At 36.4% G+C, this 16,826-nt stretch overlaps 1 protein-coding gene across 2 annotated transcripts in view; it reads left to right on the top strand.

Annotated features, from left to right (window-relative positions):
* The window catches only part of RELN (reelin), a 517,870-nt gene that overhangs the window by 263,782 nt on the left and 237,262 nt on the right, over window positions 1-16,826 (top strand). For both annotated transcript variants that reach the window (NM_173054.3, NM_005045.4), the window contains exon 8: window positions 2,686-2,737. In NM_173054.3, the coding sequence (NP_774959.1) occupies window positions 2,686-2,737 (52 nt within the window). The remainder of the gene's footprint in view (window positions 1-2,685; window positions 2,738-16,826) is intronic.

Raw genomic sequence — 16,826 nt, 5'->3', positions numbered from 1 at the left:
TTTCTGGAGAAGTTAGTCAGTGAGGGGTGGAAGAAACTGTTACCTGGACATAGCACAAGTTTTTGTTTCTTTTTAACAGCTGTGCCATGCACCCCTCACTGGGTTTTATTTAACCCAGTGAAGTCTCTGTATTTCAGGTGGTGACACTGAACTTTATTAATTTTGTTAGTATAAGATAAAGGTAAAAAGGAATTCATTTTCTCACTCATTTAAAGGAAAATATGCTCTCAGAATTTAAAATGAAATGAGTTATGTTACCCTCCATTTTAAAAAAAGAAATTCTTCACTAAATTATTACTATTATGTTTTAAGACAAGGCCTCACTCTGTCACCTAGGCTGGTGTCCAGGTGTGCCATCATGGCTCACTGCAGCCCTGACCTCCTGGGCTCAGGTGATCCTATGACCTCAGCCTCCTGCCTCAGCCTCCTAAGTAGCTGGGACTACAGGCATGCACCACCACACCCAGCTAATTTTTTTAAATTGTTTGTAGAGATGAGGTCTCCCTATGTTGCCTAGGCTGGTCTTGAACTCCTGGGCTCAAGCAGTCCTACTGCCTTGGCTTCCTAAAGTGCTGGGATTATAGGCATGAGCCTCTGCACCAGGCCTATTTACTGAATTATTCTCACATATTTGAAAATGCATTTTAATTACAAGGGTGAGTTTGGACTAAAACAATATCAAACTCAATAAAAAATTTTAGAGAAAAAGTACAGAATGAACAGCTTTGACCTACAGTGATTTCTTCTGATTCATTTAGTTATCATACTAATTTCCTATAGTTTTGAGTGTATTTATAATTTAAGAGAGATTTGGTAAGAAAAAAGTTATGTATCAGCCATTCATAGTTACCATATTATTTATCAAAAGCTCTTTAAGGGCCCCTTTTGTTTTCAGAATGTCAAATATAAAGGCTTAATAACTCATATTTGAACTCAAGATTAATAATTTATATTACCCAATTATAAATATAGGTATAATTTATATTTATTTATAATACTCAAGTATAAATATAGGTGAATAGATCTCAGAATAGATTTCATAGGCAGTGCTTCTTTTTTTTTTTCCTTCATCTTTCCTGTTCTTTCTTGTAGCTGATATTTTACTAATAAAATAAATGGGTAAAGGTAAAGAAATGAGAGTCAACCATTATACCAGTCCTAAACTTCCCTGGTGAAAAAAATTAGAATCAGTAACCAATCAAAGTCTAGGGTCACCCTCAGTTAGCACACATAATTTGAAATTTGGCGATATTCCACACAACTTGCTGTTCGCTAGCAGAGGTCACAGCTGTGGAACTTGATCAAGTAGGTGACACAAGCATCATTTATTACACCATCAGGATAAGTATCTAAGACTCTTCAGTACATTTAATGCACTAGCAGTAGCTTTATAGCCGTGTATTTAAAGCACACGTTCAGTCACCTCTCCAAGTCATGATATAGATATTTTGATATTCACATGTATCTGATCTTTTAATATTCACATCCCAACTGAATTCCGACAGAGCAAGAGGCTTGCTCACTCATTTCCTACAGCTCTTCATGAATTGTATAGCACTTGACCCTTCTGCAATTGTGGACTCTGTCATATAAGGGCTAACAAAGTGCAAGGATATGTCTAAAGATGTTATTAAGACATATAAGAAGCAAAGTGCAACAGAGAGAGAGTCTGTCTCAAAAAAAACAAAACAACGAAAAAAAAAAGCAGCAAAAGTAAGACAACCTACTGCCTCTGCCACAGTGAAGACTTATCCACTTTCTATTGCATACGGTGGAGTAACTGAAATGTCCTATATTGTAGTGTACAGAATTTCAGAACCCAGCAAAATGAGAACCTTAATTTTTGTCTCATTTGAGCTGGTATGGGTCAAAGCTACTGCTCTAAAGGATAAATAAATAAAATTTTAAAATTAAAGAAGCACCATTCTTCTTTCAGAAGGGGGAAATTTTGCTTAAGCATGCTTCTTAAGCATGAAACTAAGGAAAAGTAGCAGAAACTTGTCAGAAGACTATTTCTAGGTTCATAATTCTATTTCTTTTCTTCATTTTTTTTGGTAACAGTTTTATTGAGAAATAATCCACAGATTCTACCTTCTTTAAAGTGTACAGTTCAAGGCTTCTGGTTTATTTACAAAGTTATGGAACCATTATTACAGTCAATTTTAGACCATTTCATCACACCCCTCCACAAAGAAAGCCTATGACCTTTAGCTATTGTAGTTCTATTTCCTTTTCAAAATAATTTTATTCTACTCATTTGTTCTTAGTTTATCTCCCAATTTTTGTTCGGTAGCCCTTTTGCTACATTCTCTTTGGGTCCCCGATCTATTGATCTGGTAGGATGGAAGGGAGATGGTGGAATGAGTGGAGAGGAGCTTTGTTAAATGCCTTCACAAGATAACCTGCTGGATTCCACTAAGAACAGTTTGTGAAAGGACATTGAGAAATATGCTATCCGTCTCCAAGTCAGGATTTCACTTCTTTATTCCCCACAGGGGAAGAAGAAACAGGTCTGTGTTCAGACACATTGATAAAATGAACTAACAACTGGATAAATGCAACTTCTGTTAATGGATTTCCTCTCTCCTCTTTTTTAACTCTTCCCCTCCCCGTACCCCTCCCAGCATCTTTCTCCTCTTTCTCCTCTCTGTCTTGTCTTATTTTTATGTATTCTTTTTTCTTTAGATTACCACAGGCCTTAATACAACAACAGCTTCTGTCCTCCAATTTTCCATTGGTAAGTGTTTTTTAGCAGTTATAACGATTTAATTTGGAAATGTTTGCTTTAAACATAGTGTGCAATCAGGATTATAATGCCAGATGCTTTTGGATTTACAGAATAGTAAGTCTTAATTTTGCAGTAAATAATCTACAACATTTTTAAAGTGAAATAAATATTTTTAAATGTTACATTCTGTTCTCACTTCTCTCCAGCAGTGAATGGTATTAAAAATACTGCAGATAATTCAAAAAAATCTTAAGATGATTTACATATGTATTTTGCATACATTGGCTTATTCTATTACAGCAGGATTACCTTGCTGGTTGTGTTTTGCTCAGATTAAGATTGAAATATGTTCCATTTCCTGAGCTCTGACTAACTGGTAGTGAGAAAGATAATTACTGGTAACCGAAAGAAACCAATTAAGGCTTTATGTTTGGCATAAATAATCTATGTTAAATTCAAACATAGATAATGAAAACAATGACCATATCTGGCAGTGTTTCCTTTAAGTGCTTTTGTTTTAGAGCTAAAAGTTCCTACCCAAAGCATTCAGTAAAATAAGGTGCCTTCTGATCAGGTGTTTGCAGTTCTGCTGTCTATTCTATTACCTTCCATTTTATTTTTCAAGGGTATGTATTTATAAATAACTTGTATAAATTTACAGAGGAAATGTTCTAGGGGAAGAAACATGTTGTCTTTTAATGGGGCCTAGGTCCCATTAGAGCGAAACCCCCTCCTGACCATTTCCTATGGCATGAGAATTGCAGGTGTCCCCCAGCCATGCTCAGAACAGCATCCTCCAGTCGCTTCCATATCTTAGAAGGTCTGCCGTTAGCAAAAGGACTGTTTCTCTCAGGATTCTTCTATTCCAAATTGCAAGTCAGTGTTCTACAGCCAGGAGCCCACTGTGGTTGATTGTGCTGAAGAACAGTTTTCTTTAAGTCATGTATTTGTCACTTTTTCATCACTGTGCCTTGTTTCAGCCTGTGTAGGAGGTACTATGTGAAGTCACCTGATTACATTTTGGGTTATTTTCTTCTCCAGTTGACAGTATTACCTACAACAATTTACAGACAGTTCAGAAGTCCATGTGTGATCATAAGTAAAGTGTTAGAAAAAACAAAAATAATGGTTTTTTTGATGAAAGAGTTTTCTTTGACTTATTAACAAGTGTATCCTGTTCTGTAGCAAACACGTAATGTTTTTATAATCAAAAAAAGTTTTATTTTTAAAGAGTTGTGGTGCTACAAAAACAAATTTTTTTAACTGTAGCGTGACAGGCAACTTAGAGCCTCTTAATCACAATAAACGTGTTTAATTATGCTATTAATATATAACATAAGCTGAATAATGGTTAATAATGTATCAGTATTCTGAGTACTTGTTCTTTTTGTTAGAGAGATGAACATTAGTTTCAGATATTGTCTTTAAGCAATTAAAGAACACAAGAGAATCAATTTTAAAATATATGTCTCCTAATTCTAATATTATTTGTACTTTATTCAAGGGTGGAGAGCTCCTACACCAATTAAATTATCCTTTATTACAGGGAAAAATTACTATTTTGGTGAATAGTATACTGCTAATATGGCATAGATTCTCTATTTCCTTGCCTTTCATTTGTACCAATTACAACAGACTTGATGAAAAAGTACCAAGAAGAGGAGGTAATCAGAGAATGAAGGGTTTATTACCTAAGACTCAAAACCCATAGCAAGCACCAGGGCCAAGGTCTCGGGACTAGACATAAACATGGGACTTAGCAAGAGCCCTTGGTCTCCCCACAAGCCTGAGGACTGTAGCCATCAGGCCAACTTATATTATTTAAAGCACGGATTTGAATCCTGCTGGAAGACTGGAAGAGTAACAGAATTGGGGAAAGAGAGAGAGAGAGAGAGAGAGATGGCAAGGAGAAAATGAAGGAAGGGTGGAAGGAGGAAGGAAAGAGGGAGGAAGGAAATGAGAAAAAGAGATCTCAAGTTTATAACTAAAAATACATTTATAAATCTTTTCAGGTGGCAGTTTTAGAACCAGAAGTGAAATTTTAACATATCCTTAGGAATGAAATGGAACAATTTAGTAAAAGAAATTGTAATTTATTGTTTATAAACTTCATTGGTGAATTTACTTACTACACTTTGAGAGTAAAAAATTGGGGGAAACCAAGAAGAGTTAGAATGGCAAAGAAACAATGTAGTAGCAAACCATCTGTTGTATGGTGTGTGGTGGTATGTGGTGAATACCGTATAGCGGGCAGAACTTTCCAGAAATGTTTTGTGTATCTCATTATCATTTGTTTATATGGATGTTTACGAGGTATAAGGGTGTGACATCATTCTGTTTATTTGGGTGATATGAGGGCCAGACTGAGGAACACTCACAAATTCTAGAAATGCCATAATTGTGGGTATCCATAGTAATCAGATACCAAAATAGCAAATTAAAATGAATCCAACCAATCCAATAGCAGCCATAATAGCCATTTTATTTATACTCAGTTCAAAAATTATATTAAGATTATGTTATAAAAAACTATATGTTAACAATTCAACATTTACATTTCCTTGTGTACTGTGGAATTCTCCAAATCTATACTAATAATAATATGTCCAGTTAGTTTTAGTGTCACTCCTTAGGAAGTCCTTTAGGATATTAAATGTTAAATGTTCACTGTATAACACAATGATTCAAGCAGTTTTCTAGGGAATTCTATTATTATAACCTAAGTGGTCAATTATGTTCATAATTGGGCATGTATAACCACAATTGGAGAAATTATTGTGTTGATACTTTCATATTGCTCTTGTAAACATTTTCAGTTGCATAACAAATGTTATCCAAAAGACTCCCAAGTTCCTCATACAAAAATTGCTTGAATTACTAAGGGGTGTCTCAAATAAATTCCATATGCCAATGTTTAGCAGCAATACTCTCTCAGTTCTTTCAAATACACACACACACACACACACACACACACAATGTTTATACAATATATACATATATTACATTATATATGTATACATACATGTGTGTATCTGATGTGTTTATATAATTATATATATTATACATGTGTATATAGATTATGTACTTGTGTATATATACATATACACACACATACATATATATACATAAATGTAAGGCTGTCTTAACCAATGATTTTTAAAGTCAAAGAATCCTGAAAATGCAGTTCTGCAAGATGAAATTTATCATGTTATCCACAGCTAAATCATCTTGGAAAGTGTCCTAAAATATTCGTAGAAGAACTTTTCATTTTTCCATTCCAGTGAAAGATCTCTTATCCATTTCTGTGCTGAGACATCGATTTGCTACCATCCTCACTTGATTCATTAGACGCAACTTATGGAATTTATGGTAGTAGCCTTAGGGGCATTTGCCCACTTCCTTTAGATTTCCTCTGGGATAGGAAGAAAAATTTGAGATGACATCCTTGCAAAGTGTTATCCTACAGATGCCTCCGAACTCTACTTTCTCAGGCAGGGTTGAGGACCCAAAGGAAATGGCGGTAGTACCTTGTGTCTACCACACAGTCTTAACAAAATTTCACTGAATATTTGTTGTGTGCTCAGTATTTGCTTGAGCTGGCTTCAACTGGGAAAACAAAATAAGTGAGAAAACAGAACGTTTTTACAGCACTTAACAATGTAGTAGAAGGCACTGGGTACATAGAGAGCATGAAATCTCTAGAAAACGGCATTGTTGTAAACAGGGTGGGTCTGTGTATATGTCCCCAGGGTGGCAGTGCCTAATGAGGTTCTTGAGGAAGGCTTCTTAGGAAGGAGAATCCCTGCCAACAACCCAAGTCACTTGAAAGGACAGGGAAAGGTTTTTCAAGTGAAGAGGCAGAGTGAATACAGGCAAGACATTGGAGGGGAACATGCGTGCCCTCCTAGAGCAGAGGAACTGGGCCTGGTAGCTATGAGCAATGTCAGATAAAGTTGCATCTATCTGAAGACTAATCTGTATCAGCTCAGGGCTTCAACTTACTTAATAGAGGGATAAATGTTAAATGGAGGTTTTAAACTCATTTAATTTAACTTTTTAAAAGTAAAATAATGTTGTTCTTTAGTTATTTAATAGAGGTCTGCAAAAGAACCTCTTTCTCTCTTGAGCAATAGAGAAATAGAATGAAATTAATTCTTCAGAAAAATTGTTTGGGTAGTTGTGTTAGGGGTTCTTTGTCACTTCCTTGATAGAGATCTGCATTGAGTCACTCTAAAAGAATTTACCAAGTAATATACTTGTTCAATTTAGCTTACCTCTTACATCAGATTAATAGGATTCATTAGCCAAACAAGGAATAAAGGTAAAGCATTTAAAAACACACCATGAAGAATAAATAGTTTGGCTTGCCAGACAAATCTATCTTGTCCATCACAGTATCCTCAGTCACTAGCCCAGGGACTCATAATAAATAGATGCTCATAAATATTGCTTCCCTGAGTGACAAGTAACCATTACAAAGACATCTATAATAGTATGTTACCAAGTGTTAAACTGATGTGATGCAGACATTTCATGGCAAGAGGGGGCTTGGGGGAGGTGATCTGAGGACCACAGTCAATGGAAATGATTACCCAGAAAGAAACAGAATCACCAGTAAACTATACTTTAAGTGAAACAAGTAGACAGAAATACATATGCAAGTGTTTATCAGTACGTAATTACTGAGCTAACTAGAATCTATTATTTGTTCATGATTTATAGAATTAGTACCTTTTCTCTTGAGTTTTACTTACAGATGTCCTAAACATTCGGGTTTTATTTTTGTACGTGTGTTTAATTTTTTTTTTTTTTTTTTGCTGCTTTGTTTTTGTTTTTATCATTTCAAGACAGAAGGAAGTCATTAAATCATAAATGCTTTATATTTACTTATTAAGATACACAGATGTTCTTAGGCTTGAATTATTGTCCTTCTGTACTGTACATGCTACGGAGTCTCAGAGATGAATGAGAGCCACTCTGTTTACACGAGTGTATTTTGAAAAATAAAAACTGGAAATTACAAAAGCTAAAAATACTCTTAGCTGAATTGGAATATTGCTTTGTGAAAGAAAAGAGATCTGGTATTATTTTTTCTTTAATAGATGTAAAGGATAAAATGTCACTTGTAAAAGGTATTCTATTTCATTTAGCATAAGAAAAGCAGTTGATTTTTCCCTTGAGCCTAATTCATAAACATCTTAATTACTCAGAACTTGATTCAGTAGAGAAATTCTCTCTCAACTCTTTTAGAACAGGTAGTTCAAGAGGAGGAGAAATCGATTCCTCCATATCTTGGTATGAATTGTTGCTCATTTCCTCCACGAACTTACTGAAATATATTTAAAATTAGATTCTCATTTTTTTTTCCAGAATCACTCTCCCTGGTGAGTAAGACCTTGGGGAACTTATTATGAAATAGTGAACACCTCTTCTGAAACATGGACACCTCTAAGTATAAGACTAACAAAATATTTGGTGACCTAAGCCCAAAACAAAAATAAATGAAACATTAGAAAATTTTAATGGCAAAAATAATACATATGTTTTATAAGGTTAAATACGTGTTTTATTTAAGGGTAAGATTCTTGGATATAAATGTATTCAACTAAGATTTAAGACTTAATTTCCAGATCTTCAAATATCTATATTAAAACAAATTTTTTTTTTTGTTTTATATATGGAATACCTCTATGTTAACTAAAATTTGGTAAGTAAAGGTGTGAAACTGATTATGATGCAGGGTATCCTGCTTTGTCATCCCAGAGATGACCTTTTTAGGGAATGTTTATTTTTTTAAATGAGTTTAAATGAAATATATATATATAAAACATATGTATATTTATCTATAATATTTATAAATATATATTTATCTCAAATCCACCTCACCCCAAATTCTTAAGCCCTAGCTTAAGTAATAAAAGAGAATATTCTGAAATCCTGTAAAATACCACTAAACCCAAAATTCTGGCAAAGATTGTTGAGATTGATTATAAGTGTTTTTTAATTATTAGAACTGATAATTAAATATTTTTATATGAATTAAAATGCGCAATTTGACACAGGTATTATCCCCTTTCTCTTTTGAGATATTCAATTTGTCACTCATCTAATGAGGCTTAGAAAAATGTCAGTAATTCATTCATAAATTCGTGCTATTAACATTTTGGGGGGACTGTACTAGTAGAAGGAATACAGCAGTGAACTACAGGATGAGAAGAAATTCATTATTGATGTAGACCAAATGGTCTCTCAAACACCACTCCTCCATGAAAACTCATCCCGTTGCCCCAGACTGATATCTCTGAAACCCCACTTGCTCTGAATTTATTTTATGACAGGTACTTCACTCTGCTTTGATAGATACACTGACCATTTCTGCACATTCACTTTCACCTTTTCTAACTTAAATATTCCTTGAGGGCTAAGGAACTTACAAGTGTCCCTTTCTGTATATAAGACAGAATTTGGCACACACCTAGAACTAAAAACAATGTAACTAAATTGAATTCCTAGGTTAGGTTAGGGATTTCATACTGTTCCACATTGGTGCTGAATACTATCTGCATTCTTGACTTCTGAAGCAAGGGAGTATGCTAAATGAAATCCATGGGCATTGTTAGAATTTAGTCTGAGCCTGCAGTTTCCAGTTTCTTGTCAATTAACCAGGGACTCATCTGTCAAAGAGAAGATCTTTAAGCTCTTTAGAATATTTATTATATGTATCATAATGTGCTTACGTTCCCTGTAGAGAAAGCAAAGCCTAAGACGCTGCCCCAATCTTTGAGAAGTTCATTATCAAATAGAGGGGAGGAGGTGGGGAGAGAGTCCACGTGGGAGAAGAAAACAAGTATGGCAGTAAACATTGCTGATTAACAGATGCAGACTACAGAGGAGAATGAGAGTTTAATTTGTTAGAAAGTCCAGGAAAGAGGGAGGGCTGGAGGGAGGACTTCATTATTTGGGAAAGAGATTGACAAGAGCAGGCATGGTACCACCAGAGGGTCAGGCGTCACTGTGAAGGTTACGGGAATGGCACCCTGTAGGAAGAACAAGATGCAGGAGCCCTGCTAAGAACTGGGGACCAAGGTCAGAGCCAGACAGCAACAATGATACTAATGCTGTCTCCAGATTGCCATGAGTGGTGGAGGGGAGACAGTTAACACTTGCTGCCCGGGATGGGGATTAGTCCTCCTAGAAAATGGGCCAGGCATGAGCATTCGGGTGTAGTTTACATGGGCCCTGGGGAAAGGAGGACGGCCTGGCAGGGAACCTGGCAAAGCCAGACACATTTCTCTTCCTTGTGTTTCATGCAACATGGCAATGAAACTACTGTGGGCTTGGGAGAAAACCTGCAGGGGGTGGGCACTTGGAAGTGGTTGGAATGTGGCTTGGCCTTCCATAAATTGGGAGAGAATGGATCCCTCTCTCCATTATGGTAGGAGTACCAGTGACAATGAAGAAATACAAATATTTTGGAAGTGAGGGAAGAGGGATAGGACTGGAAGGGAGAAAGGCACAAGCAGGGAGGAGGACAGCTGTTCATTTTATATCCTGTGGTCATTGTCCATCTGCCATGAACTGGAAGAAGTCCCCTAATGAGGTTTGGGAAATTCAGCCAGGAAAGTGACTGAGGGACAAAATATTAAGTACAATAAATCACGCACTGTCACATTTAGCCAGAAAGAAAGGTTTGTAAGTCTGATAGTCAAAACAGAGATTATTACTAGTAGCCTCAGTTTAAACATAAATATAAAACAGAAAGTGGAAGACAGTTGCTTTTAGAACCTGGTTCTTTTTCTATATATTATGAAAAAAAGTATTTCAAGTATAAAGGAAGCATGTTTTTAGTTCAAGTACAGAATATTTTTGAAGATTTTTATTGATTTTATTTTTCTACTTTATTTGACCTCTCTTAATCCTTAATATCCATTTTTAGTAGATGCTTAGAATGAAAATTTTGCTTGCATATTATGTTCCCCCATACAGCATTGTCCTTGAAATATGTTTTCTCGTTAATAAACGCTAAATTCCCCCATGGGTATTTTTTGGTGGGCAAAACAGAGGTATAGACATAAAGTCTAGACTTCCCTATCCAAATAATTGTTTAATTGATAATTTGGGCTGACCAAAAACTTTGGACATATTCATTTCTCTCAATTTACAATTTCTATTCATAAAATAATGAATTATCTTAACTTTGGTGACCATATTTTACCAAAATTAAATTTGTTTGCTCTGTCAAGAACAGTTCTTGACAGATCCAAGAGTAATTAGAGGATTTCTGTTCATGCAGAATGGAACTGTTCTTAATTAAAGTAATATCTGTGGGCTCCTTTCAGTCACAATTGCCATCCCTGTCACTTGGGACTGAGAAGCCCCAGGACACTTCCCTCCTGGGCTGCCACAAAGCATTATCCGATACAGTAACCATTTTTTCCTGCTCTGCTTCTTACCCTTGAATCAAACTGCTGCTGTTTTGGCTACGGCCCCTGAACTTCGACAAAGCATGAGCTGCCTCTATGTGCAGGCATAGGCGAGGCAAATCAAGCCTGTATTTCATGAGAGCCAGAAGCTGCTCTGCATGGTGGGATGTGCACACACTGTCAGACGTCAGGGACAGCAGCGGAGAGCATACCAACCAGGCAGACCGTTGACTCAACCGCATTCCCTATGTAGCCATTCCTCATGCATTTATTTTACCCGTGATCAGAGAATTGGTAAAATAGCACACTTAGGACCAAATTCTCATCTTCCCAGTAGATTTTCCCTCTTGTCTTGAACTCTGTATTCCAAAGTACCCTGTGGATATATGATGTACAGTAAGGTAATAAGAGTAATAAAAACAAGTTGCTTTGAATATTATCAAGCAAGAAGCTAGCTACTAGAAAATAACCAATTATACTTTTATAAAATTTAAACATTAATGGAACAAATTTATATAGGTAGTCATGTTATTAAATAAAATGCTCAGATACATAAAATGTTATATAGCATAGGTTTTTGTACTAGGAGAGGAATAAAACAGCATGAAAACAAAACAAAAAACATATTAAACCAGCCATCCTGGAAATTACAGCATTATATGCCTAAGACTGGGAGTCATATTTTAGATACTGTTCATGAGTTAGTATTCCTAGACTTGCCATGTCATCAAGATGTTGCTCTACTTAACAGTAGATCATTTTGATGCCGTGGGTCAAGAGAGCTAATACTTTTAGGGATTTTCTGGCATGTGGTAAAGAAGGAAATAAAAATCTAAGTATGATATAATCATTTTTCTACAGTGCTGTTCATAGAACTATCAAACTATTGGTAATCTGGATAATAATGGTCTTATCTGAGACAGAATTATTTGAAAAAGAATTGCAAAGTAGCAAAGAAGATTTTACTGTGTTTCTTAATTTTGGGGAGGTAGAGTAAGAGTATTTTCTCCCTAGTGAATAATACTGACCTCAAAATTCACTCTTACCTTCAAAAAAAAAAAAAAAGGATAAATGCCAGAACTGCTTATTATACCAATATCTTCATGTTGCTCATCACATTTTTCACATTTCAGTGTAGAATGAGGCAAGCCTGTTTCTTGAATGCTCCTGAATGCCCTAGCCTAGAGTAACATGTAATATCCCCTGAGAGTAACAGCTTCTAGCTTTTTAAAAGCTCCCTAAAATTTGTCCATTCATCTCTATCTCTCTTTCCACTCACTGCAACCTCAAGTTAATGGTCCTGTTCTCCATTAATCTATCTAGAAAAGATGAAAGAATGGGCTGATCCTGCTAAGAGTTGCTCTAGTTTGTAGCAGGGAGTTCTGAGTAGCCAGAATGCATCCATTCTATAACTTTATGATCTTTCTATACCAAATGCTGTTGTTTACATGCAGCTCCTAGAGCTGTGCTCGTCTCTGAGGTCTGAGTTTTGAGTAATGGCAGTGGCAGCACTCGCGCTGCAGGAATCCTCAATAAGGTTCTGTCCAGACACTCCTCAAGCCTTCAGTATTTATGGGTCCCACTATGCTATCTAGAGGCGTGATTTCTGGCAGTGATTTTCCCCATCTATAAATTCTGTGAGATCAATTCTCTCCTTCTGTGGCCCTGTGCTGCATTTGAAAAGGCAGCTCATTTTTAAGGCAGAGCTTTGGGGAAAGAGGCTGCTCCCAGCAACCACTACCAATCCCCAAGATAACAGTAGCTTCTTCTATTGCATTCTACTGTGATTTACTTTGAAAAGTCCTGGGATTGATGGGGAATGATATAACCAAATAAAAAAAAAACTACCCAAAACTACCCAGGACTTGAGAGACTAAACACCAATTGATTGATCCTTGTATAAAAGTAAAACAAAATAGATGAAATTCTTGAAGATACAGACTCACAATCCCTAATCTGTAATTTCATATTACAAAAAACATGGAGATATCACAAGCCAGTTTTTATAAAATGTATGTGGTGGCAAAGTTTGACATGAGCTGAATTCATTTGGCAGCAAGACCTGAGTTGAAAGGATTTGAAGCTATTTATGATCATTATTTCTGTTACTTATGTGAATTATCATGCATTTCACTGCAGAAGTATTAATGTGTTGGATTATAGAGTGCTGCTCTAGGCATGGCATATGCACCATATTACCTTTTGGAAATCTATAAGTTAATTAAGTTATTTGAATTATAGAATTCATCTAACCTCAAGGGATTATGGACCTATATGGCTGTTATTCCAAGGGAGGAAGTAACTCTTTAATTTTCAGTAGGATTACTAATATTTGTATTTTTAAGTGGCTTTGATTTTATATCAAATCACGCTATTCTTTATACTGTTTGTTATGCCAACTACTCAAGAGGGATGGAAAGAACAGACAAAGTTTATTTGTGAATTTCAGAAACTTCCTGGCTCTGTATGCATTACATGTATATTACGGTAAATAGGCTACTGCACAATGAGCAGAATTTTGATATACTTAATATGGATTGCATTTGATTAATGTATAATTGCTGCAGGTTCGTGTGCTTGTGTATTCTTGAGATTATAAAGTCTAAAAGCTCTTTAGGATTCTCCAGGCCGGCATAGCACAGAAACATTCCAGTTAGCAAGCCTTGGAAGTTTCTGGTTCTCTCTGGCTTGAGTCCCTGAGGTTTAATGAGGTCTATGAGGGTCAATGTAGGCTTCATTTTGACAACACAGTCAAAAATGAATAGCAGGTCAGCTGTGGTGGCTCACACCTGTAATCCCAGCATTTTGAGAGGCCAAGGCAGGTGGATCACTTGAGCCCAGGAGTTTGAGACGATCCTGGGCAACATGGTGAAACCCTGTCTCTACAAAAAATACAAAAAAATTAGCCAGGTTTGGTGGCGGGTGCCTGCAATCCCAGCTACTTGGGAGGCTGAGGCGAGAGGATTCCTTGAGCCCAGGAGGTTGAGCCTGCAGTGAGCTGTGATCATACCACTGCACTCCAGCCTGGGCAACAGAGCAATACCCTGCCTTTAAAAAAATAGCTTTTTTGTGTGTGTAAATATAGCTTAAAAGTCATTTCATCGATTCTAATCTAGTTGTACTGTGATTCATTTCCATATATAAATATTTTAATTGAGTCAAACCTGCCTTAAGAGAAGAAAAGAATTTCAAAAATTTCAAAGTCTTATTCTCTCTTTATTCTTGTCCTGTCATTAAATACATTTGATTGTGCCGTGCTAAGCAAAGTGGAAAATGAATTTTGTATTCTGGATTCCCTTGCTCTGGGACCTGTGATTTAAGACATTTTTGAAATGTAGGAATGTAGTGCAGTGCAAGCTCTGTACAGAGGTGGGTCTGAGTTGTGTGGGTCCACCTTTGAAGCTTATACCACTTGGGTGAGGGTTAGGGTCTCTCTCTAAGGAAAAAACATACAAAGTTACACATTCCAAATTAGGTACAAATGTGAAAATTTATTTAGAATGCAAAAAGAAATAAAAACAAATTACAAATTGTTCAAAATTGACTGTACCACAAACATCACAAAATCAAGAAATACAACATTTTTGTTAACTCCCTGAAATGTTCTATAGTACTTTTTTCCTTATATCTTTTTGGCTGTGTACTCTTTCTATTTATTTATTTATTTAAAAAAATTTTTTTTTGAGACGGAGTCTCGCTCTGTTGCCAGGCTGGAGTACAGTGGCGTGCTCTCGGCTCACTGCAACCTTTGCCTCCTGGGTTCAAGCGATTCTCCTGCCTCAGCCTCCTGAGTAGCTGGGACTATAGGCATGGGCCACCACACCCAGCTAATTTTTTTATTTTTAGTTGAGACGGGGTTTCACCATGTTGGCCAGGATGGTCTCAATTTCTTGACATCGTGATCCACCAACCTCAGCCTCCCAAAGTGCTGGGATTACAGGCATGAGCCACCACGCCCGGCTGGCCATGTACTCTCAAATCACCTTTCCTGTGACAACAATTCTGTAATATTTTCTGGAAATAATAGAAAGGGTATTCTGCCTCTAGCTTGTTAGATCAGAGTTGATGCTTAATATTTGCCTTTGCAACTCCTTATTGATCATGTCATTTAGATTTTTAGAATCACTATAGAATTGGAAAACCTCTCTCTTATTTATATTTGAGGACATTTCAACTTCCCTTGTATAGTGACTAATCTTAGCTGATCTCTGAATTGACATCACTCATTAAATAGTGTATCATCATTATCTTTTAGTCATGATGCTGGATGCATCAGCACTGTGGGTGTAGGAGTTCCTGGAAGCTGTTTTTATATTGAGAATGACTAGACTACAAAATGGAAAGTAAACTACGTAGCTGTATCACACTAACCCAAAATAAATGTATTTCCAACTCAGCTTCTTCTTAGCAGAATCCCAAAAGCAGTTAGGTCCACTCTGACACCTCCTGACATGAGGGGCAACGTGATGAAGGAGTAGTCCAAATGGAGACAGGATCTTAACCAACTGCAAGTGTTATAAAATATGGCCATCAGACTATATTGCTAGAGCCTCTCCCAGGACCTTAGACAGTGCTAACCAAAGTGAGGGCCATGAAGCCGAAGCTTCATCAGCTTCATGGTAAATCCTCTTCTGTCTATGACAAACATGTTGGAATTGAACATTACACTTAGATTTGTTACATTGATAAATATACGTTCACATTCTGACATTTGTCTTATTGACACTTCCTTCTTTCTTATCCCCCTGCAAGTTGCCTCAACTTTCCCTTTCAAATTCTGATTACATCTTATCTTCCCTTTATTTGATGTTCTATTGCTTTTGCCTTGTCTTATAGGGACCATAGAGATTTCTATATACTGCTATAGCTACTGTTCTGATTCTCAATAAGAAATAATCATTAATGCAAAACAATATTTTTTATTTAATGTAGATATTTTAAGCCATGGATTTATTTTTTTATATTTGGAATATTCTACAGCATATGCACATCAGTTTATGACTCATATATACTGACAAACAACTTTTACTGTTGGTATAAATGGGCAGAGGGAAAAGAGCACTGATTTGGGAGTCAAGTCATATAGTCCTTTCTCTGCCAGTTGAACTCCCCACATAACCATGGGTAGTAGTAGAGGCTGCCTGGGCCCTTCACAAGTAAGCATGTTCATCTTTGTGATCTCTTAAATGTCTTACCACTGTGGTCCTAAGTCCTAGAACTGGGTAACAACAATGAACCATGAGTTAAGCAGGAATTTAGTTTGGCTAAAAACATGGTTATTATGTTTTCTGTTTCAGTTAAGGCAGCCCTTACAAGAAATATTAAAGCAGTCGCCATATCTTTAACCAATTGTAATTTATACTTGTAGCTTATTTTGTCACCAGGGAAAGATATTAAACAGAGGAACAGAAATGTAGCATTGGCAGAACCATGTGATGTTGTTACCCAGATAATACTTGGTGCCACCCTGAGATGCTGTCCTTCTGGCTCTTCCTAGAAGAGCATCAGTGTGTATAATAGTGGACAGGGGCTATAAATCACCCCATCTCCCTATCCTGCTGAAAATAGATACTACAGAAAAGCTAATAATAATAATAGTATTATTGTATTTCCAAAAGACACTCTTCCTGGAGTTTAACTGATGAGTCTCGGAAGGGCTTTATTGCCTTCATTCA

Source organism: Homo sapiens, chromosome 7 (assembly GCF_000001405.40).
Source record: "Homo sapiens chromosome 7, GRCh38.p14 Primary Assembly".
Taxonomy (NCBI): domain Eukaryota; kingdom Metazoa; phylum Chordata; class Mammalia; order Primates; family Hominidae; genus Homo; species Homo sapiens.
This window is presented reverse-complemented; position numbering and strand designations above follow the sequence as displayed.